The following is a 24,155-nucleotide window of genomic DNA, read 5'->3' on the forward strand; positions in this document are numbered from 1 at the left end:
AGGGAATAACAGAATAATTACGTATTTCCACCACAATGAAACAGGACTATTTTTAATGAGGACTATCCATTTTTAAAAGTTCACTTAAGCTTTTAACTGGCTGCTCAAACACTTTCTGGGAAGAAGACAAGGTAAATAATTGACTAGGCTATCCCAGTAATGTATTAAGCATTTTATAACTGTTGACACGTACTATTAATTGGGAGCCATATGTATTAACTTAGGATCTAAATTAAACAAAGCAGCTCCCTTGACTGTCTCCCATTTGACAGCTATGGGAAAAGCTGCCTCTCCACCTGGGTGCAAGTCCAACAGCGTGGTGTGGCCCTGTCCCCCTCCTCCCCAGGAGGCAGCAGCAGGGCCGTGAAGGCCAGAGCTCAGCTCTCCCCTTTGCATGGGGAATGGGGTTGAGCTGCTTTTTGCCATGGTGTGGGGAAGATCCCCCAATCCAGGTGGAACACTCCAGGATGCCTTTCATGGGTCAATCTTCCCCTTCTCCTGTTAAGAAACCAGGGTGGGTCCCAGGAGAGGGGCAAGGGCTGGGCACTGGGGCCAGCTGCTAGAAAAGCCTGAAGGATAACAATCTCCACAGAGCCCTCCATGCCAGCTTCCACTCTGGTTACTCCATAGCTGTTTCAGCACGAGCTGAGCCCGGGGTTTAGAAAAGGAGGACCAGGCAGAGAGAATGAAAAAGAACCCAACTCCAGGGTGGGATGAAGGGTAAGACCTCCTGGAGGAGGGCTGGGGAAAATCCAAGACCTTCTCACCCAAGAACGGAAAAGGATTGGGGTAGGGGGGTGGTTGATCAGAGACCTGGGTTCAGTCCACCTCTGGCCGCTGGGCTTGGGCAAGGTGCAAGCCTAGGTGACTTGTCATCCCCTGTGATTCGAATGGGAAGGGACCTTGGGGCTCCACACCTCAGGGGCCTTTGGTGGGAAAAGCAAAAGCAGGAGCCTCACAACTGTGCTGGGTTCTCCCACCAGCGGAGCAATTGTGACGAAGTTATTGAGTCTTTCTAAGCCTTGGTTGTTGCAGCTCTACAACGGGGATAGTTATAAGGTTGTTTAAGAAATTAAGTGAGAAAGCCCATGGAAGCCAAGCAGCCTCAGAGCTGGCACACAGTAAGCTCTTGACATTGGTCATTCCTAATTCAGCATCTCTTTAATGCACTTTGAATAAATGGCACCATAGCCCAGGAGAGTGTACTTAGCATCTATAGGGGCAAAAGCAGAGAATGTTATCTTTCTAATCATGTGAAATACAAAAGAACCAGAACAAAATGATCTAAAAACCATGCGGCTCTCAACATTTAAAGGAGGAAAGACAGGCTCACTGAAGAGAATCTTACCCATAAATGTCCAAAACACCAATAAAAGTGTGCTGCTTGCCTGAAAACTGCAACGCTTGGTTAATTCTCTCCACAATGAAGTCGAACAGGTGAGCATAGATCTTTTTGGCCAGTGCATCCCTGGCGTTGACAGCCTGAGGCCTGGTCATGGGTTTTACCACCGTCTCAGAGCTTGTGACGATTTTGCGATTGCACAGCCACTGAGCAACTCTGCCACTCTCCAGGCCCAGGAGCTCACAGAACACCTTCAGGTGACTGTCATCCTCCTTCAAAAACAAGCACAAGCCCCGTCAGGTGGCCCAGCCATCCAAAGACACACAATCCCACCCGGCCAAGGCCCCCGTGCCCACACTCAGGCCTGTGCAAGAGCTGAGTAGTAGCTGGCACAAGGACGCCCAGCCTCAGGAGGTGGAGATAGACCTGGGAGTAGAGCAAGGGGGCTACAGCAGCACGGGTCCTGCACCTGGCCCTTGGCAGACCACCCCTGCAGCAATGCCAGGGAGTCCAGGGCTGCGTCCCACGCTGATTTTTCATTTTAACCAAAGAATGTCAGCGGTGACTAAGGCCATAGAGGCCACCCTCTCTAGACCCTGCCCTGTTCCTGTGGATGTGGATGCAGCCCTCTCTCTTCCCTTTGAACCATCCTGGGCCACTTGTCAGAGTGTGCACTCACCCTGCCCCACCTCGTGTGGCCAGGGGTTTGCCTGGATGGTTGGTCCAGGAGGTACCCAGGTGTTGCTGCCAGGCAGAAGCTGGTGGGAGTCCCATGGCTGAGCTAGTGCCTCAGCTGACACGAGGGCTGGGGTGGGACTTTTCCTGAATACACAAAGTGAAATCTTGCTTCTCCCCCAAGCCAGGGCATGAGAGCTGCCCCGCTGGTCAGCAGATGAAAAAAGGGAAGAGGTGCTCCCATTTCCCTTCAGCCAGTGTGGACAAAGGGCTCCTGTCCTCAGGCAAGGATGTGACTCCCAGCTCCTCTCTCAGGCAGGAGAACTCCCAAGGCAGGCTCCCCTGCCGGCACCATTCCAGCCCACCAGGAAATCTACATGATTGCACTAAAAAGCCTCAGGACACAGTGTAGGAAGCCATGGAAACAGTCCTGCCCCTCCCTGCGCTCTACCCACACCCCCTGCTGACCAATATCACAGTAACACAGAGCTGGCTTTGACGTGCCTGACCTTATAAGGGAAGGGACTGGCAGTGGCATTTGGTTTCCTTCCTTCTAAGAAAGAATGAAACCTTCTGAGTCAAAAACAATTCAGCTGCAGGTGCTGCTATGGGAAAAAAATGCAAAGGGGCGGCAGCTTTTCAAAAAGTCAGATGGCTTTGTCCAAATTTAACGTGTCCAACATTTCAAGTTCCTGATACAAATGGGTGGAGATGGATCCCAAATCTAGGACCAATAATTATAGGACTGGGAATTTTCTACAAATATTCTTAGAAGCCTTTCCAAAGGATTTTCAGTCAATCAATTTTAATTCCTCCTCCAAAATGCTACCTTAATAAGAAGCTTCACGGGAGAGGGCTCAGTGTGATGGCATTTGTTGGGTAGAAATCACATTTTTAATCTATGGGGGTTTGGGGAAAAAAGGGCAGAAGCCCAGCTTCTCTGAGGTAACTGAGCAAGGCAACAGAGGGGGATCTGCCACTTCAGACACACCACACTCTCCCCCAGGCCTCTCGTCACCTCTCTCCCTGCTTTCCCACTTGGGGAATTGACTCATTCTGGGAGGTCTGGACACTGCAGGCAGGATGGGATGGACGCTGAGGTGAAAGCTGGAGGAGAGGAAGGAGAATTACTTCCTGGTCATGGCAAAAGGCCTAAAACGCTAAGCCCAGGAGCTCATGCTCCACTCAGCTCTGCTCTCTCCCCAAACCGTTGGTAGCAGACAGCCAAGAACTCACCGGTTACACAAAATGATCAACTATTCCCATCAGTTATTTGAGGGACATGAAAACAGACATTATTACAGACTGAACATTTGTGTCCCTCCAAAACTCATATGTTGAAGTCCTAACCCCCAATGTGACCGTATTTGGAGATGGGGCCTTTGGGAGGTAATCAGGGTTGGCTAAAGTTGAGAAGGTGAGGCCTGCCATGATGGGATTAGTGTTCTCGTAAGAGGCATCACAGTGTCTGCTCTCTCTCCACCATGAGGACACAATGAGAAGGTGGCTATCTAGGAGCCAGGCAGAAAGTCCTCACCAGAACCGACCAGGCTGACACTCTGTTCTCAGACTTCCAGCCTCTAGAACGGTGAGGAAACAAATGTCTATTGTTTAAGCCACTCAGCCTGTGGCATTTTGATATGGCAGTCTGAGTTGACTAGGACAGACATGTTATTGTTAATGCAAAGCTTTACAGGTGTGCAGATTCTGTGTTTCATAGAAACATTTTTTACTTGTGTTTGTTTTCTTCTTTACATGGACATTGATGAGACTAATTAAACACATACCCCTCCCCCAAGAATCACTACTCATAGTATATGTCATAGAAGAAACACACATCAAATTAACTTGTGTCCATTAAATAAAGAAATCTTTCACAAAACTTACAATACATTCCCAGGAAGCCAGCACCACTGATGTCTGATTCAAGCAGGTGTAAGGAGGTAGTGGGTGTCCTTCTGCTGAAAACTACCCAGTGCCCTTAAGGTCCTATGTGGTCTGCAATCCCCCTCCCCTCTCTGGCCTCATCCACACCCTCCCTGTCACTCACCCTCTGGATACATGGACCTTCGTGCTGTTTTTCAAATGACATCTCCTGCCTGCGGGTTTCTGCACTTGCTGTTCTTCCCCCATCCACAGGCACAACCTGCTTCTTCATCCCCTGCAGGCTGCCACCCACCACCTTCTCAGAAAGTCTTTCTCTGACCACCCCACATGAAAGACACAGCACCTCTGCATGCCCCCTCTGCTTTACTTTCCTCTGTGCCAGCCGTCAGCTGCCAGAGCCCATATTTGCTTGTTGTGTCTCCTCCCTACCCTTGATCATAAGCTCCCTGAAGGGCTTCTTGCTTTGTTTTGTTCACTGCTGTTTCCCCAGATGCTATGACAGTCCGTGGCACTTAGTAGGTGCTTCATACATACTTTTTGAATAAAAGAAAAGCACACAGGAGATCCATTTCCCCTCCTCTACTGTTGCAAGGGGAGGAGGCTTTACTCTTTGAAGGCAAGCCCTGGAAACCCTTGCCGCCTGCCTCCTGTTAAACCAGTCTACCCAGGAGGCCGACTATATCTGGTGCTAAAAAGCAAAGGCAGGTCAGCTGCGAGCCAGTTCCACTATGACCCTTAGACAAAGGAAAAGTAAAACAAATGAGCATCTCACACTAACTGAGGACCTCTCGTTGCCCACCGCGGTGATCTGCACATTGCCCAGATGTAGGATGGCTGCCAGGATTTTAAAAACGTCCATCTGAAAATCCTCCTTGAAACCTAAAAACAAACATTTTCCCAGATTAGAATACTGCATCTCTTCTCTGACTAGTAAGATGGGCACCTGGATTCATTCAAGATATGCAGGTAGCATCAGTGCCAAGCTCTGGGACAGGAACGTGAAGTGGACCCCAGGGGCATCTGGGGCACTGTTCCTTCTAGTCGACCTCTGTAGACATATACCACATGTGTCTATACACAGGTTTCCCCTCTGCCATGGCTGCTAGGAAGTTCAACACAAAAATTAATATCCCAGTAATCATTTCACATTAGGTTCCTCGGAGAGTCATCTTGCCTTGATTCTGTGCTTGATTTTGAATGTTTTTCATTTTTCTTTTTGCTCACAAGCTCTCTGAATCCCTGAATTATTTTTTAGGTGGGATTGCTGGAGGGATTCCGTTTGCCCCTCCAGATTCTCTGCTCTCTGCCCCAGGGGACTTGGTATAAACCAAGGCGATGGCCTTTCATGCCCTCTGGCCTTTGGTTGGGTTTGATTCATGGGGAGCCCTAGCAGGAGAGCAGAGAGAGGAGCGGAGAAGGTTCCGAGTGCGTCCTCCCCAGCCCCCTTCCCTGCAAAGCTGCCTCCAACTGGCTGCATGGCCTGACTGACAGAAGGTCACTGCTCCTCTGGGGCTGACTTTACCCAACTCTCCTTCTAGGCTCCAGAAACACTTGGATGCCCACATGGGAAAGAGCAGTGAACAGTTCTGCTGCTGCCCCCCAGGTGCCCACTGCCCCTTGTATTAATAGCTCCCCTAGACTCCACTCACACCTCTGCAGTTGTAAATAATAAATAACCCCTCCCTCTTGTATTCTGTTGTGAGCCTGCCCCATGTTCCCCATTGGGACTTTGATTGCAGTAAGTAGAATATAAATTATGACTACATACCATATTCAGTCACCGTGAGGGGATTAGCACATTTCCTGGAGCCAAAAAGAAAGAAAACCAGCTGCTAGAAAGGACTGTGTTCAAACCCTGTAAATCACAGTGTAGACCCACACGCTGTGAGCCCGGTTTTGCCAGGTCGGGATCCCCCCAGTGTGTGTTAATGACACTGTGGTGACTTAAGCAGCTGAGAGATGCGCTCGGGCTGGCAGGCAGGCTCATTCACACCAGGCAGGCTGCCTGGTCCACCCTGGAATGGACACTGGAATGGAAGCCAATGACCCCTCACTTGAGGATACCTGGAGTTTCCATTAGCAGGTAGGTCATGTTCTTTAACAATTTCAAAACCTACAGTTTTTTGTTTTTTTTTTTTTGAGACAAGGTCTCACTCTGTTGTCCAGGCTGGAGAGCAGTGGTGTGATCATGGCTCACTGCAGCCTCGACCTCCTAGGCTCAAGTAATCCTCCCACCTCCGCCTCCTGAGTAGCTGGGACTATAAATGTGCGCCACCACGCCCAGCTAATTTTTTGTAGAGATGGGGTTTTGCCATGTTGCCCAGGCTGGTCTTGAATGCCTGGGCTCAAGTGGTCCACCCTCCTTGGCCTCCCAAAGTGCTGCGATTATAGGAATGAGCCACTGCACCTGGCCCAGAGTCTCCTCTACTACAAAGATTAAATAAAATCAGTCTCAAAAGATTTCAATCCAAGAACACAGGGAAGACTCCAGCTCCAGCTGAGTCCAGGCACTTGCTGCCTTTCCATTTGGAGGTAACTCCTCCATCCGAAGGACAGATGTGTCCAACAGAAATATACCCCAGGCCTCCACCACAGTAATGACAGGTAAGTGATCATGAGCAGCAACTAAAAATGCCAAGTGCAGGAGCCTCCATTCTGGCACTCCTCCCTGCTTTCTGTGATCCATAACTAAACCCCTTAAACTACTCCAGGCCTTCCAGAAACACAAAAGGGAGATAACAACTCCAAAACATTAATACAAAAGAAAGAACTCAAGACCTGCGTTAAGTAATCATCCTTAGTGAGCCTGTCACACAAAAGCAATGCCAGCCTGAATCAGATTTCCAGGGGGAGCTCACTGGTCAAGTTCCTAGAGCCTGAGGTCCCAGGGACAGCCTGATTCCAAGGTGTTCGTCCCATCAGAGGGCAAGGATCATAGCAACACTCAAATGGCAGGGGTCAGTGGATGAATCACATGAGAAAGACACAGCAGAAGAGCAGAAGAAAGGGACTTTTTAATCAAAATGCCTCCCCTCGCGCTTCTCCAGGGGTAATCTCACTGCTAACTGAGGGATCTCAGCAGCAGAAATGGAGGGGAAGGCGAAGGGAACACTGCCTCAGGCACCGTCCTTGGTATTTTCCACGCATCAGCTCCTCTCATGCTCACTACAACCACCCGAAGGAATCCTAGTATTGTTCCCATCTCACAGAGGAGGAAACTAAGGCATAGGAAGGTTAGGGAACTCACCCGAGGTCACACTGGGTAAGGTATATCTAAGCAGTTTAACACCAGTGCCCACCGCAATATGAGAAAAGACCCACAGCGTTCATGAGGCCATCTAGCTTCGCCCTAGCATGTCTAAACAGAGAAGTCCCTGATGACCTCGTGCAAGGTGAAGGAAAAGTTTGAGCTGAGGTACCCTCTCTTGAAGGGAGAGTTGCAGGGAAGAGGTGCAGTGGCCCCAATCTCTTACCACCTGCCCACTTCACACAGCACAGCAGGCAGCCATCACCATTAATGCCTTGAGAGGACACGGTACTCTACCTCTCCACAAAACTCCAGAGGGCTTTGTCTAAAACTTCTAAGTCTGTGCACAGGCTAAGTGTCCAGGGCCAACCCGGCACATGCAGGGCCCTGAGAGTGAGTGCCTCTCTCGTCTCGTCCCAGTCTTGGCCCTGGGACTGAGGAACGTGATGTGGAAATCTGTAAACATAACCTAAGTTGTGTGAAACATGGGGGCAAATGGCTGCAAATTGCTGATCTCCAACAATTAGAAAAGGTTTCATGGAAGAAGAGATGGTTTTACTCAAAGTATGGTGAGGCTTTGGACAATTGGGAATGTAGAGAGCTAGCAGGCAGGGAGTAGCAGTTACTATGCACCTGCTATGTGCTTGGCCTGGTGCTGGGGACTTTTACATATGCTTCCTCACGAGTTGTCATGAAAGATAAGGTGCGTTGCCACTCACAGATCAAGACACTAAGTCTTGGCTGGACATGGTGGCTTATGCCTGTAATCCCAGCACTTTGGGAGACAGAGGCGGGCGGATCACCTGAGGTGAGGAGTTCAAGATTGGCCTGGGCAACATGGTGAAACCCCATCTCTACTAAAAATACAAAAATTAGCTGGGGGCGGTGGCATGTGCCTGTAATCCCAGCTGCTCGGGAGGCTGAGGCAGGAGAATTGCTTGAGTCCCGGAGGCAGAGGTTGCAGTGAGCCGAGACTGCACCATTGTACCCCAGCCTGGGCGACAGAGCGAGACTCCATCTCAAAAAAAGACACCAAGTCTCAGAGTGGGTAACCTTAGATTCATACCAATTAGGATTTGAATTCACATTCATTTGATCCCAAAGCCTACTCTATTTGCCCTACATTATCTTGCTGTGAGGAGGAGGACATAATAGAGGTGGGAGAGAGTAGAAGGATCAGGGAGATGAGGGTGGGCAGGGCAGGGCATATCCTTCAGCCCAGCCAGAGCTTGGCCACCTGTCCCCTCCTCACGCACCAAGCCCCCTCTCCATGGAGTACATTATACAAAGATTGAAATGACGACCATAATTATTTTCAGCAAATGTAAGTCAGTGCCGAAAGTGTTTATCTTATTATTATAAAATGTTTAAACTGCCTTTCTCCTCGAAGCAGGTTTGAGGGAACAGTCTGATGGTGATTTTGCTTAGAAAACCATCTTGTTTTCATTCTCCATTATCCAGCTGTGATCGTCTTGCCTATTCCTTGGATATGTTTAACCTGAAACTCTTAGTTTTTTACATTCAGATACAGTCAACCAGGCCACAAGAATGAAAGCACTTAGTATGAATCGGCGGGACATTTCAGCAAGAGAGATTTCAGCAAGACGTAGAAATGGCTGGCCGGGCGCGGTGGCTCATGCCTGTAATCCCAGCATTTTGGGAAGCCAAGGCGGGCAGATCACGAGGTCAGGAGATTGAGACCATCTTGGCCAACACGGTGAAACCCTGTATCTACTAAAATACAAAAAATTAGCCAGGTGTGGTGGCGTGTGCTTGTAATCCCAGCTACTTGGGAAGCTGAGGCAGGGGAACCGCTTGAATCGGGGAGGCAGAGGTTGCGCCACTGCACTCCAGGCCAGCCTGGCGACAGTGTAAGATTCTGTCTCAAAAAAAAGAAAAGAAAAAAAAAAAGAAAGAAATGGCCGATGGCCTCACCCTGATCAGAAGCTTTGACTGGCAGCTTCATGTGGATGTCTAGACTCATACAGAATGAGAGAGTGAATGCCTGTTTTTATAAACACCATCTGGTAGACAGCCTTTCTGAACATGAGCTCTGTGTGGGAAAAGTAAGGCGAGAAGGATTGGGAACAACTGGCTGTGCTGTGACAGTCGTGCCTGCTCCACCTGTGCCGGCATCTGAGCAATAGAAGATGGGGTTTTCTGTACCAAATGAGATGCTTGAAGACCCTGGAGTGCAAAAGCCAGTTCCACTCTGAATCAGTTGCCTAATGTTGGGTAAATCACTTCCCATCTCTGTGCCTTAGTTTCCCTCTTGTAAAATGGGAGAAACAGCAGCACTGACTTCCTAGGGTGGTTGTAGGGATTGAATGAGTTCACACAGAGTTATAAAGTGCTTAGGATGGTGCCCAGCACATTGCAAGCTCCAGATGAGTGCTCACTATTTTACTGTCATCATCAGGAGACCTATGAAGGCCACAGAGGGCCAACGTTCCACTTCTGAACCGAATTGGACCTTGGCTTTACCAGTCATTCTTGTACTCAGCCTAGAAGAGCTTACGGCAGTCACAGGGCTTGCAGCCCATGCCTCTCACAGCCGAGCCAGGAAGGCTGAGGAAAAAAACAAATTAATTTCTAGCTCTTTTAAGGGAAAAGCATAGTCTTGACCACTTAGTCTCCAAATATGTTCTGATGTTTTGTCCTAAAATTAGAATTGATTAGGAGCCTTCAGAATACACATTTGCTGGGAATCCCCACCTTTTAATTTTTTTTTTTTTTTTTTTTTTTTAAGAGAGAGTCTTGATCTGTTGCCAGGCTGGAGTGCAGTGGTGTGATCTCGGCTCGATGCAACCCTCTGCCTCCTGAGTTCAAGGGATTCCTCTGCCTCAGCCTCCTGAGTAGCTGGGACTACAGGCACCCGCCACCACGCCTGGCTAATTTTTCGTATTTTTAGTGGAGACAGGTTTCACCATGTTGGCCAGAATGGTCTCAATCTCCTGACCTTGTGATCCGCCCACCTCAGCCTCCCAAAGTGTTGGGATTACAGGTGTGAGCCACCACGCCTGGCCTTAATTTTTTTTTTTTTTTAAGAGAAAATGGCTACATACTTGGATGGGATATTTTCCCTTACCCAGAAGCGTGAAGGTCTTTTGAGTCTCTACCATTTCAGCTCGATCATTCACACCCTCAATGACAGTATTGCCTCCCATTCTTGTATAATTAAATTCTTCGGCACTCCCTGAAATCAAAAAGTAAGATTTGTTATGTCTGTAACACAGAAATTTGGACATACACATTTATCAGAAGAAGGGAAGTTCATACTCAAAGAACTGTGTCATGCACTTTACACAGTTTATTCCATTTATTCCTTAGAACTCTGCATTACAGCCAGGTGTGGAGGCTCATGCCTGTAATCCCAGCACTTTGGGAGCCTGAGGCAGGGGGCTTGCTTGAACCCAGGAGTTCAAGACTAGCCTGGGCAAAAGGGCAAAACCAAATCTCTATAAAAAATTAGCTGGACATGGTGGCACATGCCTATGGTCCCAGCTATTCAGGAGGCTGACGTGGGAGGATCACTTGAGCCCAGGAGTTCGAGGCTGCAGTGAGCCGTGCTGGCGCTACTGCACCCCAGCCTCAGTGACCCTGTCTCAAAAAAACAAAAACAAAACAACAACAAAAAAAATCCTACATAACAGACACAGAAGCTGAGACTCAGGAAAGTGAAGTGACTTTCTCAAGTTCCAATAGCTGATGGCACACAAGAATTTAAATGCAGGCCTAACTCTAAAGCTCATGGTTTTTGTTCCTGCACCTAACATTTTTATATAGCTTTACTGAGCTTTACTGAATGTACAATAAACTGCATATGTTTAACACGTACGATTTGATGAATTTTTGACATACATATACTCTTATAAAACCATTAGCACAATCCGGATAATGACTCTCTCTCTCTCTACATATATATGTATATATACACACACATTTATATATGTATATATAAATGTATGTGTATATATATATATACACACATTTATATATGTATATATATGTATGTATGTATACACATGTATGTGTATATATATACACATACATCTAATGTTTAAATAGTAGAGGATCTTTCAGAAAGCCCTTCTGCAGGTTCACTATTCACATTCTGTTTGGTAGACAAGGCCAAGGATATTACCTTCATGTGAAATCTGGAGAAACTTAGATTCTAAGAGTACAAGCAACTTCTCCAAAATTAGAGAGTGTGAGTTCAACTCCAACATACTAGAAGTTATCTCCAACAATTCTCATCTACCAGCATAGCACAAATGGCTAAGGCAGGAGAGCTGTGACAGCACGGGGCTCGGGGCCTTTTGTACTGAAGGACAAACAGCCCTATGTTTTAGCCATCTCTGGAATATAATTAATTATGACTACAAGTAATGAATGACCTTGAGCCATCAAGGAAGGTCAAATTATGATACAGGTGGTTTGTTTTAATAAGTGGGTTAACATGTCATGTTCAAATAAAATGGAAAGTTTGGTGACATCATATGTTCCAGCTGTCAGGAGGTCTTATTCAGGTGGTTCTAGCTGGAGGACCATAAATACCCAATGAGCTATTTTTTTTTTTTTTGAGACGGAGTCTTGCTCTGTTGCCCAGGCTGGAGTGCAGTGGCGTGATCTCGGCTCACTGCAACCTCCATCTCCCGGGTTCAAGCAATTCTTCTGCCTCAGCCTCCCAAGTAGCTGGGACTACAGGTGCGTGCCACCACACCCGGTTAATTTTTGTATTTTTAGTAGAGACAGGGTTTTGCCATGTTGGCCAGGCTGGTCTCTAACTCCTGACCTCAGGTGATCCACCCTCCTCAGCCTCCCAAAGTGCTGGGATTACAGGTGTGAGCCATCACGCCAGGCCCAATGAGCTTTAAAAATAACCCTCAGTCTTACAAGTGCCCCCTCTCTCTAAACTCATCCCCCCGGCCCTAATCCATCCCCTTAATTAGATGCACCAATTCTGTCCCTGAAACCAAAGAATCTTGTATCTTTGGGCAAATACTTAAAACAAATATATTACTATAAGAAGAAAGTTAACCTAGAATTTAAGCCCTCCATAAAAGAGAGACCCTTTCATACACGATCCATCACATACCCAATTTAAGATGTTTAAATTCCGACTGCTGTGCAGATGCACAAAGCTGATAGAAAATGTGGTAATTTCGTTCATTTTCCGACTGTAAGATAAAGAAATGTCCTCAAAATTACACCAAATCCTTACAAGCAAAAATGCCAGGTTTTTAACTAGAGGGTCCTAGATATCTAATCCGCATGGATAATTCTCTGTCTGGGATGTGATCTGGCCAGTTCACAAGCAGGCCCTTCCTCTCAGCTGAGAACTGGGTGGCCTGAGATGGCCTTCCAAGTAATGAGCAACCCAGAGAAAGTGTTATTAAATGAAAACGTCCTATGAAATGGGAATGGCGTAACTCATCCTAGTGAAATTTTTACAAACTTCCTGCAATACAAGGCTTTCTGTTGCTCTCCTCCTGGGCCAAAACGATGAGAAATTTCTCCATTTACTGGCAGAAAAGCCTTTCTTTTAAAACCCCCTCAATAGCTCTGATCCCATTCCCTTCCTGATAGGAAAGCCAGTCTGTCAGCTTAGCCTATTTCAAACAGTTTTCGTACTCTAGAAAGAGATACTTGCTTTTTAAACTATAAGGATTTTGTAAATCCCCCAAATTAAAAAGTCATTAACCTTTTCCTGCAGACATACAACTCACCTGATATTACACCTATTCATCCATCAATTTTTAATAAACAGAAAAAAGAATCCAAACTGCAAATGAAAGACAAGAAAACCCTACTCTTCAACTCACAGCATAGTGTAGCTTGCCTGAGTATGTATAATAAGTATGTAAATGTAAATAATGCTCAAAAAGTTGGGGAAAAGGAAATTTAATACTTACTTGAAAGACAACTCTGGATTTCTCCAGGAGGTAAGTGCTCATGTTGGCTCCTATAATTTGATTTTGTTCATCAAAACTGATTTCTGTGTATTTCCCAAACCGACTACTATTGTCATTGCGGGTGGTCTTGGCATTTCCAACGGCCTAAAAAAAATAAGACTCTATTGAAATAACAACATTAAAAGATTTTTGCCTCAAAATTATTGGAGGGGTTTTTAGTAAAAGGCAATCCTGTACCCTAGGGGAAGGTCTGATTGGCAGAGGGAAGTCTGGGGAAAGAAAGCAACCCCACGCTGGCAGGGAACATGACAAATCAGAACATGAGCCTGCTGCTCAAGGTTCTCCTTGGTCCCACTGGCAGATACTGGGGAGGACCAGAAAGAGCACAGGTTCTGATGTTTCAGGGTCCTGGGTTCTATCTTTGCTATCTGTGTAATGTCTTAAAAGTTAATTCACTGGCTAGGTGCAGCGGCTCACGCCTGTAATCCCAGCACTTCAGGAGGCTGAGGCAAGAAATTCACTTGAGGCCAGGAGTTTGAGACCAGATGAGGCAACACAGTGAGACCCCCGTCTCTACAAAACATAAAAAAAAAATTAGACAGGCATGGTGGTGTGTGCCTGTAGTCCTAGCTACTCAGAAAGCTGAGATGGGAGGATTGCTGGAGCCCAGGAGTTGGAGGCTGCAGTGAGCTATGATTGCACCACCGCACTCCAGCCTGGGTAACTTAGCGAGACCCTGTCTCAAAAACAGACAAACAAAAAAGTTAATTCATCTTTCCAGGTCTTAATTTCCCTATCTGTAATATGAGAATCATAAGCAACTCACTGTTATGGACTGAATGTTTGTGTCCTCTCAAAATCTTCATGCTGAAATCCTAACCCTATGTATTGGTATCATAAGGTGGGCCTTTGGGAAGTAATGATGTCACGAGGGTGGAGCCCCTGGGAGTGGGATTTTAATGCCTACATAATAGGGATCCCAGAGACCTCTCTTGCTCTCTTTCTGCCATGTAAGGGTACCGTGAGAAGACAGCAGTCTGCAACCCAGAAGAGAAGCCTCTCTAGAACCTGACCCCTGCTAGCCCCCTGATCTTGGACTTCCAGCCTCCAGAATTGCGAGAAATAAATTTCTGTTGTTTATAAGCCACCTGGTCAATGACACTAAAGTATATTATACTAAAGTACATTATATTTATTATTATAATAGCAGCCCAGACTGACCAGAACACTTACAGAGTAGGGAGGATTAAATGAGAGAATATGAGGTGCCTCAACTCATTCAGGCCCCAAATACCTATGATGCTCAACTAGAAGTTCACATCTTTCATCCAACCTTTATTCCAATCCCTACTCCTTACTGCTTCCCTACTCAACCTTTCCACTCAACCAAAAAACTGCTCCTTCCCATCCCTCACACTCTCTGGGCAGGATTTTTGCTTTTTACTTCTGTTCTTCAATTTCATCTCTCCTCTGCCCCTCCCCACCCTCTCCTGAGCACCCTGTTTCTAGATGACCCAGGTCATCATGCTGCCTGCCAACATGTCTTTACTGAGCACCTACTATGTGCCATGCGCTCGGTAAACAAAGGTAAACCAAATAGATACAGTCCCGCCTTCATGGAGTGTGCAGTCTAGTAGAGGAGACAAACCCTAAATATTTACACAAAATTATCCACTGGGCATTTAACTTGGCACTGGCTCTTGATAACTTTTATTTTGAGATGGGGTCCTGCTCTGTCATCCAGGCTGGAGTGCAGTGGTGCAATCTTGGCTCACTGCAACCTCCACCTCCTGACTCAAGCAATCTTCCTACCTCAGCCTCTTGAGTAGCTGGGACTACAGACATGTGCCACTATACCTGGCTAATTTTTTGTATTTTTGGTAGAGATGGGGTTTCATCATGTTGCCCAGGCTGGTCTGGAACTTCTGAGCTCAAGCAATCCACCCACCTCAGCCTCCCAAAGTGCAGGATTATAGATGTGAGCCACCGCACCCAGCCTTGATAACTTTTCTATTGGTATCTTGGATTGTAATTTATGTTTCTAAGTAAGCCTATGCCTCTGAATTATGAGCTTTGCAGTGTTTCTTAGTACCCCCCCCCCGACATATGTTTCTATTTAATTTTAAAATATTCTTACATTAGGTTAGAAGAATCTTACACTTGGAGATTGGGTCTTATTCTTTTCCATCACTTCCCACATTAGCTAAGCAGTGACTTCAACAGAGTAGATTGTCTGATAAATATTCATTGAGGATTTTGATTTGAGAAAACAGGGAGAAGAGGTCTAGTAGTCTAATATTCTTAATTTTTTGCTTTGCTTCCAAATAAATTCAAATCAATCCTCTTCCCATTTTGCGGGGCAGCTGGAGTTGGCTTGCAGGACCCTCCTCTGTGCCTTTTGGGTGCCTCTTCTTCCTTGAGGGCTGTCTCCTCACCCCCCTGGGCACCGTCACGGTTGGCCTTGCCCACTCTCTGTCCCAGTCAGTAGTGTGCTGATGAACTGGCTCTTGGGGAGGGCAGGAGGAAGAGTCTTGACATGTGGCCTCTGCCAAGGCAGAAGGTATAAATACTTCTCCCCTGACTGATGTCAAACTACCAAAGGTTTATCAATCAGCTTGCAAAATTCCTGAATATTTTAACAATCAGCTCATGAATGCTGATGCCAGCTGGGTGGAGAACACCAGTGATTTCAGTGTACCAGTGATGTTTGGTTTCCCCTGGGATGTAAATGTAAACAGAGGACTCCTGGAGTCTGATGGTAGATTTCCAGCCCAGCAGGTAGAGCAGAAGAGAGCCTTGAAAGTAACAATTCTGCCCCCATCTCCTTCAAATCCCACCAGCAAATAGGCTTCCCGGGTCTTTCCTGCCCTCACTTCTTTAGTCTTTAAAGGGTGGGAACTTGAATTAGCCAGGAGAGCACACAAACCAACCAACCCCCATTTCCATCACCAACACCCAGCTGCCTTCCGCAGTGGTACGCACCTCGGTGATGGGATTGGATGCCAGGACCTTGTCTTCCACGTGAGCGTTGCTGCCCGATTTGCTGACGGTGGCAAAGTACCTCATGGCATAGCGAGCCGACACTGTCTTTCCAGCACCTGACTCCCCACTTACAATTATGGACTGGTTTCTGTTGTTTCTAAAGCAAATAAAAGTTTTCAAATATTAGTTTCTTCCCATTAAAGAGGCAACATGTGCTAATTAAGACAAATGTGGACAAGACAAAAGAGGGAAACTGTTTTGTCACTCTACTATTTTTAAATCTCAATCAATTTCCTTCTAGATTTTTTTTTCTATGTGATCGTGCAGAACACACAATTTTAAAAGTTCACATCTTTCATCCAACCTTATTCAAATCCTTACTCCTTACTGCTTCCCTACTCAACCTTTCCACTCAACCAAAAAACTGCTCCTTCCCATCCTTCCCACTCTCTGGGCAGGATTTTTGCTTTTAAACTCTGTTCTTGAATTTCACCTCTCATTTCATCTCTCCTCTGCCTTCCCCACCCTCTCCTGAGCACCCTCTTTCTAGATGGACCCTGTGTAGGTCATCATGCTGCCTGTCAACATGTATTTATTGAGTACCATGTTGAGGGGCCCCAAGACCAACCTCAGGTTCAATGACCCAGTAAGAGGACTCTCAGGACTCAGCATATAGTCATCCTCACAGCTAAGACTGATTGCAGCAAGAGGATACACAGCAAAAGCAGCACGGGGAAAAGGCACACGGGGCAAGGTCCAGTGGAACACGGGTGCAAACTTCCAGGGGTCCTCTCCCAGTCGGGTCACACAGGACACATTCAATTCTTCCAGCAAGGAATTTGACAGCACATGTGAAATGCTGGCTGCCAGGGAAGCTCATTAGAGATGCAGTGCCCACCTTCTGCCTAGCATATGCCAATATTCCAGACTCCCAGAAGGAAAGCACGTATTCAGCATAAAGCACATTATTTACACAAACAGCTTGAGTTTAGGTAAAATGAGCCACTTTTTCAACCAAGAAATGTCAGGAACCGTCATGAAATCAGAGGCTAGCCATGGGCCACCTTGCAAGCAGGCCTCTAAAGATAGCAGCCTCAGGCCTTATGTCAACTCCTTTCTGCACATCCCACTTAAATATAAAAACATTTCAAGGACATTATTTTGAGAGCAATTATTCAAAAGATGCTTGGGAACATATGCGCTCTCTAAGCCAACATGCTCTGTTATATAATTTAGAGATTTTTTAAAAATGCATTAAACTTTTCATGTCATAAGACTGTGATGGTGGAAGCTTCTAACATGGCTCTGTGGATGTGGCACCGCTCACATGCCAGGTGCTGGGTGAATACAGATTCTCATTTAAGCTTCACAAAAATCCTACGACATAGATATCTCTTTTACAGAAGAGTAAAATGGTGACTCAGGGGTGGAGTGACTTGACCCAGAGCACAGAGCCACAGCCTCCCATGTAAATGCTAGAGGAGACTTTGGATACAGAGCCCCGGTCCAATATTTTCATTTCAAAGAGAGAAGATGAAGACTCTGAGAAGTGAAATGACATGCTCAGTGTCCCTCAGGGCATAGAACAGGGCTTTAGTAATCCCAGCCCTGTTCTACAGCCCTGAGGGACACTACCTGTCTAGCATCAAACAAGGCCAACACGAGCCTGCTTTGGGCTCCGTTCTGTTATGGCAGTTACACAGACAGACCTCCAAGGAGAAACTGGCTCTTTAGGGCTGAAGTGAGCACAGCCCTACAGTGCCAAAGAGCTCATCCCACCCATACCCAGTCCCTAATCACCACGATACCTGGGAGACCTACAGGGAGCCAGGGAAAAATCTCAGAACCACAGGGGTTTTAGGGTTAGAAGGAATCTTGGTGCAGCGGAAGCTGCTAATTCTCTACCCAGTATGCATTTGCATTCTCCTCTTCCTTCTTAGGGACTAGGCCCCAGTGGCCAGGCAGTGCCCCTCTGTGCATTTGAAAGACTGCACATCCCAGCCTCCCTATGTGAGTGAGGTCTGCCTGACGAGCTGTTAGAAGTGCTTTGTGGGGCTTCCAGAGAGTCTCCTTAACCTGGAGGGCCATACCCTTCCCCTCATATGCCTTGTTACCTAGAATATGGAAGACAGAGGTGAGAACTGGCTTGTCCCTGAGGATGACGGCCCCACCCCAGGGACAGGGAGCTGCACGGCACCGGGTCTCTGATGACTCTGAAGAAGCTCGGTCTAGCCCCAGACTGCCCATCAGACATCTGTGCAGGAAAGCAGCACGTGTTCTACCTCATGTAAGCACCACCTGCTCCCTCATTATAAGCATCAGAACCAGGAATGGGTGCCCTCTGAGAGTCCAGCTCACAGACGAAGACATAAAGCGGAGGGAGCTCAGGAGCTGCGGCTGGGGTTATGCAGTAAAGATTTAGGTAAAGAGTCAGCAGGTCCAGGTCCTGTGCCTCAGATTTCCCATCTGTGAAATGAGGGCAATGAAGTCAGTCAACTTCACAGGAGTGCTGTAAGACTCAAGGGAGACCACTGTATGTGAAAGTTCTTTTGCAAACTGTAAAGGCAGCTACAAAGATAGGGTGGTGTTTCTATTCTCCATACTTTACAGATGAAGACACTGAAGCCAAAAGTGATAGTTATGGGAAAAATAAACTAGAGTTTAAAAATCTGAGCACAAATCCCAGATCTGCCTTTTACTTGCTGCCTACCCTGGGTTGGTTATTCCCTGAAGCTGTTTACTGCCCAGACATTTGCATCGTGGGCTATTCTGAGGCCATCCCAGATGACACATGGGAATGTGTGCACGGTGCCTCATTCACAGGAGGCTTTTCATACATGTGCACTAGTGAAACGAGAACTCCACAGGGCCCTACAAACACCTAGCAGTGAAATTAGGATAAAATTCCATGTCTCCTGCACCTAAAACCTCCTGCAGCTAAAAACCCTGTCATCAGATCCTACTTCCTGCAATGGGTAAAAAAAAAAAAAGCTTAAACGTCTCATAGCAGAGAATAAATCAACACTCCTCCAACCAAACACACTGCAAGAAAAGCATCTGCTATTCCCAGACTGGTAGGACTGACTTGACTACCTTGAAGGAACAAAACCCAGGAAACTCCAGTCTTGACAGGTCAGGTACATGGAACAGTCGTTTGCTATTCATTCCAGGTAGTCGGCTCAACAAAGCACCACCTCTGGCCTATCTCTTTTAATGAGCCCAACCTAGATATCTCCCCTCCACTGTGATGGTCTGGCAAATGCAGGGAGCATTGGCAGAGCAAGGGGAAGTCCAGCTTGGCAGGAAGCTACCTGGCCATCTGCTTGTATGCCTCTTCTGCCACGGCAAATATGTGTGGGTCCATATCGCCCATGTTCTGCCCGCTGTAGGCGTGGATGATGGCATCTCCGTATATTGGCAACTGCTTGTAAGGATTCATGGCCACCAAAATGATTCCTGGGGAAAGATGTTAGATGCAGTTAAAATACTCTTACTGCCACCTGCATCTCCAGTTTTTTTTTTTTTAAGAAACCCCAGCTCTGTCGCTTATTAAACCTTCTGTGTGACTTTGGGCAAGTCACTTCACGCACTGAATTAATTCCCTGCCAGTCACCTACACCCTCGGGCTGTTCTGACGGTTGGTTGACAGGACAGGTGGAAATGCTCGCAAATGGAGAGGTTTTTGCAATTTGCAGTGTAAGTAATATCATTGCCCAAAATAAGTAATAAATGTATGAAATCTGATGAGAAACTCAAACACGAGCTTTGTTACATCTCTTTTTCTAGGTAGTCCAGTCTTAGTTCTTGTTGAAGATTCTCCCCACCCAGACACTTCTTTTTACAACAAACTCTGGGTGCTCAGTATAAACATAAAACAACCAGGAGGCTCTAGACAGCAAGCTTACATTCCAGTGCCATTCCTTACTTCCTAGAATTGCTCTCCTTACCACTGTAGGTGTAAATGAGTTTGGATTCTGCAAAGCGGATTCTGAGGTTGTGGAGCACCGCGGGCTCGTGAAGATAGCTGAGAGCCGTGAGGTCATTCTCGCCCACGAGGATGTCAGGATTCCGAAGTGGAGGCAGAGATTCTGGATTGACAGAATAATCCAGCTCCTATGGACAAAGATAAAAATTAAAGCTCTGGAAATAAAAGATTTTTGGTGTTTCTGTTGAAGCACTGTCCTTTGTCCTATCCACCCCTCCATCAGAGTCATCACTGACATTAAAAAGCAAATGTACTTATAGCAACAAGAAAATCTTCACAGCTGACTCCTGGAATAATGAAAAGTAGGAGCAGGGGACTAGGGCACTGGCTATGTGCACTGGGGCAAGTCACTCACCCTCTCTGGGCCTCACTTCTCTCATCTGCGAAGAGGAGCTAGAGCAGGGGTCCTTAGATCTACAGAGGCCTCAATAAGGAGTGTTGGGGAAGCTACAAGGGCAGAGATCCAGGTGCCCCATTCCTGAATCTCCCACCAGGGCTCTACCTATATGTGGTTTAAATGTTGAGGCCATGCAAGTTTTCATTTGAAAACAAGATGCTGCAGCTAAAATGACACAGTGACCTACGGTCTCTTTAACTCTAAGGTTGTTGAGTCTCTGCTCAAAGTTGACACACTTGGTGGTGACAGATACCTAAAGGAGTCCATGCAGGTGGTGGTCTCTCCGTGAAAGGCCCCTGGTGCAGGTGTCTCCTGTCTGCAGTTGCCCACATGCCCGAGGGCTCACAGCTCCCCCAGCAGGGCTGTCTATTCCTATCAGTCTCAGCCCTGGGCCAAGGAATTTTCCCAGGCTTGCTCCTCTTCTGCTAGATTTAACCTAGTATTCCTAAAGCAGCTGCCTTAGCAGAACGAAGGTGAGGCGAGCATGCCCCGTGGCATCTGTGCCACAGATGACTGGGCCTTTCCAATGTCAGAGTATTCTAATTCCTACACTCCCATTTCACCGCTGGGGGAAGTGAAGCCCAACTAAAGCGACTTGAGCAGGTTACCCAGCATGCTTGTTTCTCTTCCACCTTCCTAGGCCGCCTTCCAGGTATTCAGTCAGTATCTCTGGATTCCTTCTGATCTCTGGTCCTGGACCAGCTCCACAAGGTGGCCCAGCTGCCTTTCATCAAGTGCCACTGTGCAGACCCCATGCCAAGCACTCAGCATGGATTGTTTCATTTAATCCTCAAAACTGCCTTCCAGGGAGGACATGACTACCCCAACCAAGAAAGTCAACGAGACAGGTTCAGAAAGTTGGAGTTTGTTGTCCAAGGTCACACAGTTAATCTGAGCCTCACTCTGAAGCCTGTGCTCTCTCACTAGCACAGTGCTTCCTTGTCCATGGCGGGGGTTTTGCTGGCTGGTTGGTCTGTTCTGCATAAAGCGAGCAGCTCAGGGCAATCCACAACTGGACACGGATGCTCAGGCCAGCTCCTGCTCCCCTGTTACCAATGCAATTGTATTGTGACCTAACCCCGACCAGAATATTCTCAACCTAAACATTTTTGAAAATAAAATCAGGAAAAATGCTTCTCATACATACTGACTTTCCTTGTCTCTGTTTTTCTGTTGTAAATCCACAACCCCCACTTCTGGTTTGGCCTCTGTGTGTGTTATGTGTGAAAGCAACAGGGAGACAGAAAGGACAGACAGTCTTTGGGGGAGGGGAGAAAATGTAATGAACATTATGTTGACAGGTGGAGGCAGAGGTGACATTTTCCTACAGCACACAGGCCTTGTCTCTTACAGTACTGACAAAGGGTTGAGCTAAAGAGAGGTCTGGCTGCCCGCCATCCTACTCACCTCTGCAGCCGGGTCAAGGCCGGGAATGTAGCCACCTGAAGCCCTGCAGATATTACCAAAGCAGCAAACTGCCACTGCAGCTGCTGCCTTGAGATTTTCCTTCCCAAACAAAGCCATCTGATCCCTAATCAGAACCTTGTGCACAGGAGACACTCAATAAAAACTGCGAGGAGCTCCTGTTGGAAAGGGAAGCCCCGGGGAGCAGGAGCCTCTTCCCAGAGCTCCTGCCTTCAAACATGCACACAGGATTGTCTCATCGCACTTCAGCAACCCTGGGACGGTGCACAGTCATTACCTCCTTTGTACATATGGGGAAACTGGGGGCCTGGGCCAAAGACTTAACAAGGGGCCATGCCAGGATCTGACGCCAGACCATCTGATTCTAGAGGGTGTGTCTTTAACCGCTGTGTTCATCTGCCTTCCCAGGATCTCAGGAAATGTCTCCCAAATCCAGGACAGTCTGATTAGAAGTAGTGTGTCCTGTGTCTGCAGAACCCATTTACATGCTTTGTCAATTAATCCTCACATGATGTTCCCCAGACCCACCTCTGGGATCTAGATGGAGCACAAATCCCCTGCCCAGTTCTCTACCCAGATACTTGATTCTAAACCCGTCCAGTCACCCTAGGCTACTAATCCAGTGGGATGTCACTACAGCAATGGTGGGCAAGGACAACTCATGAGGGACACTTAGAGCAAATGCAAAGTCTTCAGAAGCTGCGTCATCAGAAGGCACATGCAGCCTTGCAGGGAAGCTCCTCAATAGCTCATCCTACCACAGGAGCAACTGCTAAAGTTCATCCTCACCTCCCCCTCACCACACCAGCACCAACAGAGGCACCTCATAATGTCACACAAAGCTGGGTGTCCATGTCTTCTTGTCCCTGCCACACTCCCTCCCTTACACATTTCTATATATCTGTGGACCGACTCCCTCCAGTCTCCTCCCACTCCTCCCTCTCCCTGCCTGTTTTCTATCTCCCTCTTCTCATTTTCCTCCCCTTCACATCTTGATGTTTTTCTCTACCAGCGTATGCCTTGGGCTCAAACGACTTCTCACCAAGTTTTTCATCTCTGCCCAATCTCTGGGCTGAGACTCAGGAAGCCAAAATGGCGAATCACTTTTCAGCATTCTCCCAGTAATGCTGGGTGCCTGGAAATGCAGTGCCGTGGCACAGACCTGGCTCCTGCAGCTGGGCCCTCATTACAGAGAGAGGCCCGGTGGATGCAGGGCAGCACAGGGGCGGGAGGGAAGGAGTACAGACACATCAGTGAGTCCCGGCACCAGGAGGCCATTTGGGAATGGTGCTGGTGCCCACTCGTGCGCCCTCCCCTGGGTGCCTCCCACGGGGTCCACGTGCTCCCATCCTTACACACACCCCAGCTACCGCTTTACACATCGACGTAGCTGTGAACAGCAAGGACCCTCACCGTTCCATCCTCCAGCAGGAGTCGCAGGACCTTGTCACCAACTCTGTAGTCCTTGGCTATTTCAGCAGACTTCCAAACTTCTTCAGGATCGGGAATCCAGACCCTGTTGTACTGACCAACAGGATGAGAAAAGCTGAATTTCAGGACTTCCAAAATTATGGATCAATGCATGGTTAGACACAGGAAGGTTTCTTTCTGTGCACTAGGTCAGCTCCTTCATGAGGAATACGTCTACCTAATTTTGCTTATGAGGTGATCTTTCGTGCATCTGTGATGCACCAGGCCTGGCTGCCTCAGTTTACAGGCAACAGAACTCCCAAAGCCTCCTAGATAAACCTTGAACGCTGAAAGCCTGTACGTGGGAAAGAAATCCGCGAGTCCCTTAATGGAAACATCTCACGGCTGTCTACAGGGTTAGAGGAGAGGGATTTCTTTCACCACTGATTTGACTATGGAACTCTGGGCCAGACACTTAACTTCTAGTGCCTCATTTTACTCATCCATAGAATTGGCACAACAATACCTATTTTCACCAGTTCCCTGGGAGGTTAAATTAGACTTTGTACTTGAAAGAACTTTGTAAAATGCTACGAAAGTATTGTTACAGCAATGTCATCATAATCTTATCACACTGGTGGGCTGCCAAGGACTCCCACAGTGGGAAATGCAGAAGTCCAGACACAGCCACCCAGCTCAATTCCCAGCAGGCAATGGCACGCCTGGCTCAGCGCCGATGTACAAGTCTTTAGGTAGAACCACGTTGCTGTGGGCTGAACTGTGTGTCCCCCAAATTCATATGTTGAAGCCCTAACCCCCAATTGACTATATCTGAGAAGGATCTTCAGAAGGTAATTAAGGTTCAGTGAGGTCATGAGGGTAAGGCGCTG

The 24,155-nt window shown here is 47.3% G+C and overlaps 1 protein-coding gene and 1 non-coding gene across 6 annotated transcripts in view, besides 1 other annotated feature; both read right to left on the reverse strand.

The window, feature by feature from the left end:
• MYO5C (myosin VC) overlaps window positions 1-24,155 on the reverse strand; it is a 103,483-nt gene that overhangs the window by 67,192 nt on the left and 12,136 nt on the right. For 4 of the 5 annotated variants that reach the window (XM_047432845.1, XM_017022408.3, XM_011521781.4 and 1 more), the window contains exons 2-10: window positions 23,269-23,379; window positions 19,996-20,161; window positions 19,360-19,504; window positions 16,049-16,205; window positions 13,067-13,210; window positions 12,250-12,331; window positions 10,240-10,347; window positions 4,677-4,783; window positions 1,349-1,614 (exon numbers count right to left, since the gene is read on the reverse strand). In XM_047432845.1, the coding sequence (XP_047288801.1) occupies window positions 1,349-1,614; window positions 4,677-4,783; window positions 10,240-10,347; window positions 12,250-12,331; window positions 13,067-13,210; window positions 16,049-16,205; window positions 19,360-19,504; window positions 19,996-20,161; window positions 23,269-23,379 (1,286 nt within the window). Of the gene's footprint in view, window positions 1-1,348; window positions 1,615-4,676; window positions 4,784-10,239; window positions 10,348-12,249; window positions 12,332-13,066; window positions 13,211-16,048; window positions 16,206-19,359; window positions 19,505-19,995; window positions 20,162-23,268; window positions 23,380-24,155 lie in introns of those variants that run through there. The other variant, XM_047432846.1, reaches the window with a different exon arrangement.
• Window positions 687-1,262: an enhancer, noted in NCBI's record as "H3K27ac-H3K4me1 hESC enhancer chr15:52552397-52552972 (GRCh37/hg19 assembly coordinates)". NCBI's record gives its function as "activates a minimal SCP1, AML or CMV promoter by ChIP-STARR-seq in primed H9 embryonic stem cells {active_cell/tissue: H9 hESC(primed)}" and the evidence as "EXISTENCE:reporter gene assay evidence [ECO:0000049][PMID:30033119]".
• MIR1266 (microRNA 1266) lies at window positions 17,604-17,687 on the reverse strand. The gene has a single exon (NR_031670.1). It is a non-coding gene; the product is annotated as a microRNA 1266 (primary transcript).

The sequence above is a fragment of the Homo sapiens genome, chromosome 15 (assembly GCF_000001405.40).
Source record: "Homo sapiens chromosome 15, GRCh38.p14 Primary Assembly".
Lineage (NCBI taxonomy): Eukaryota > Metazoa > Chordata > Mammalia > Primates > Hominidae > Homo > Homo sapiens.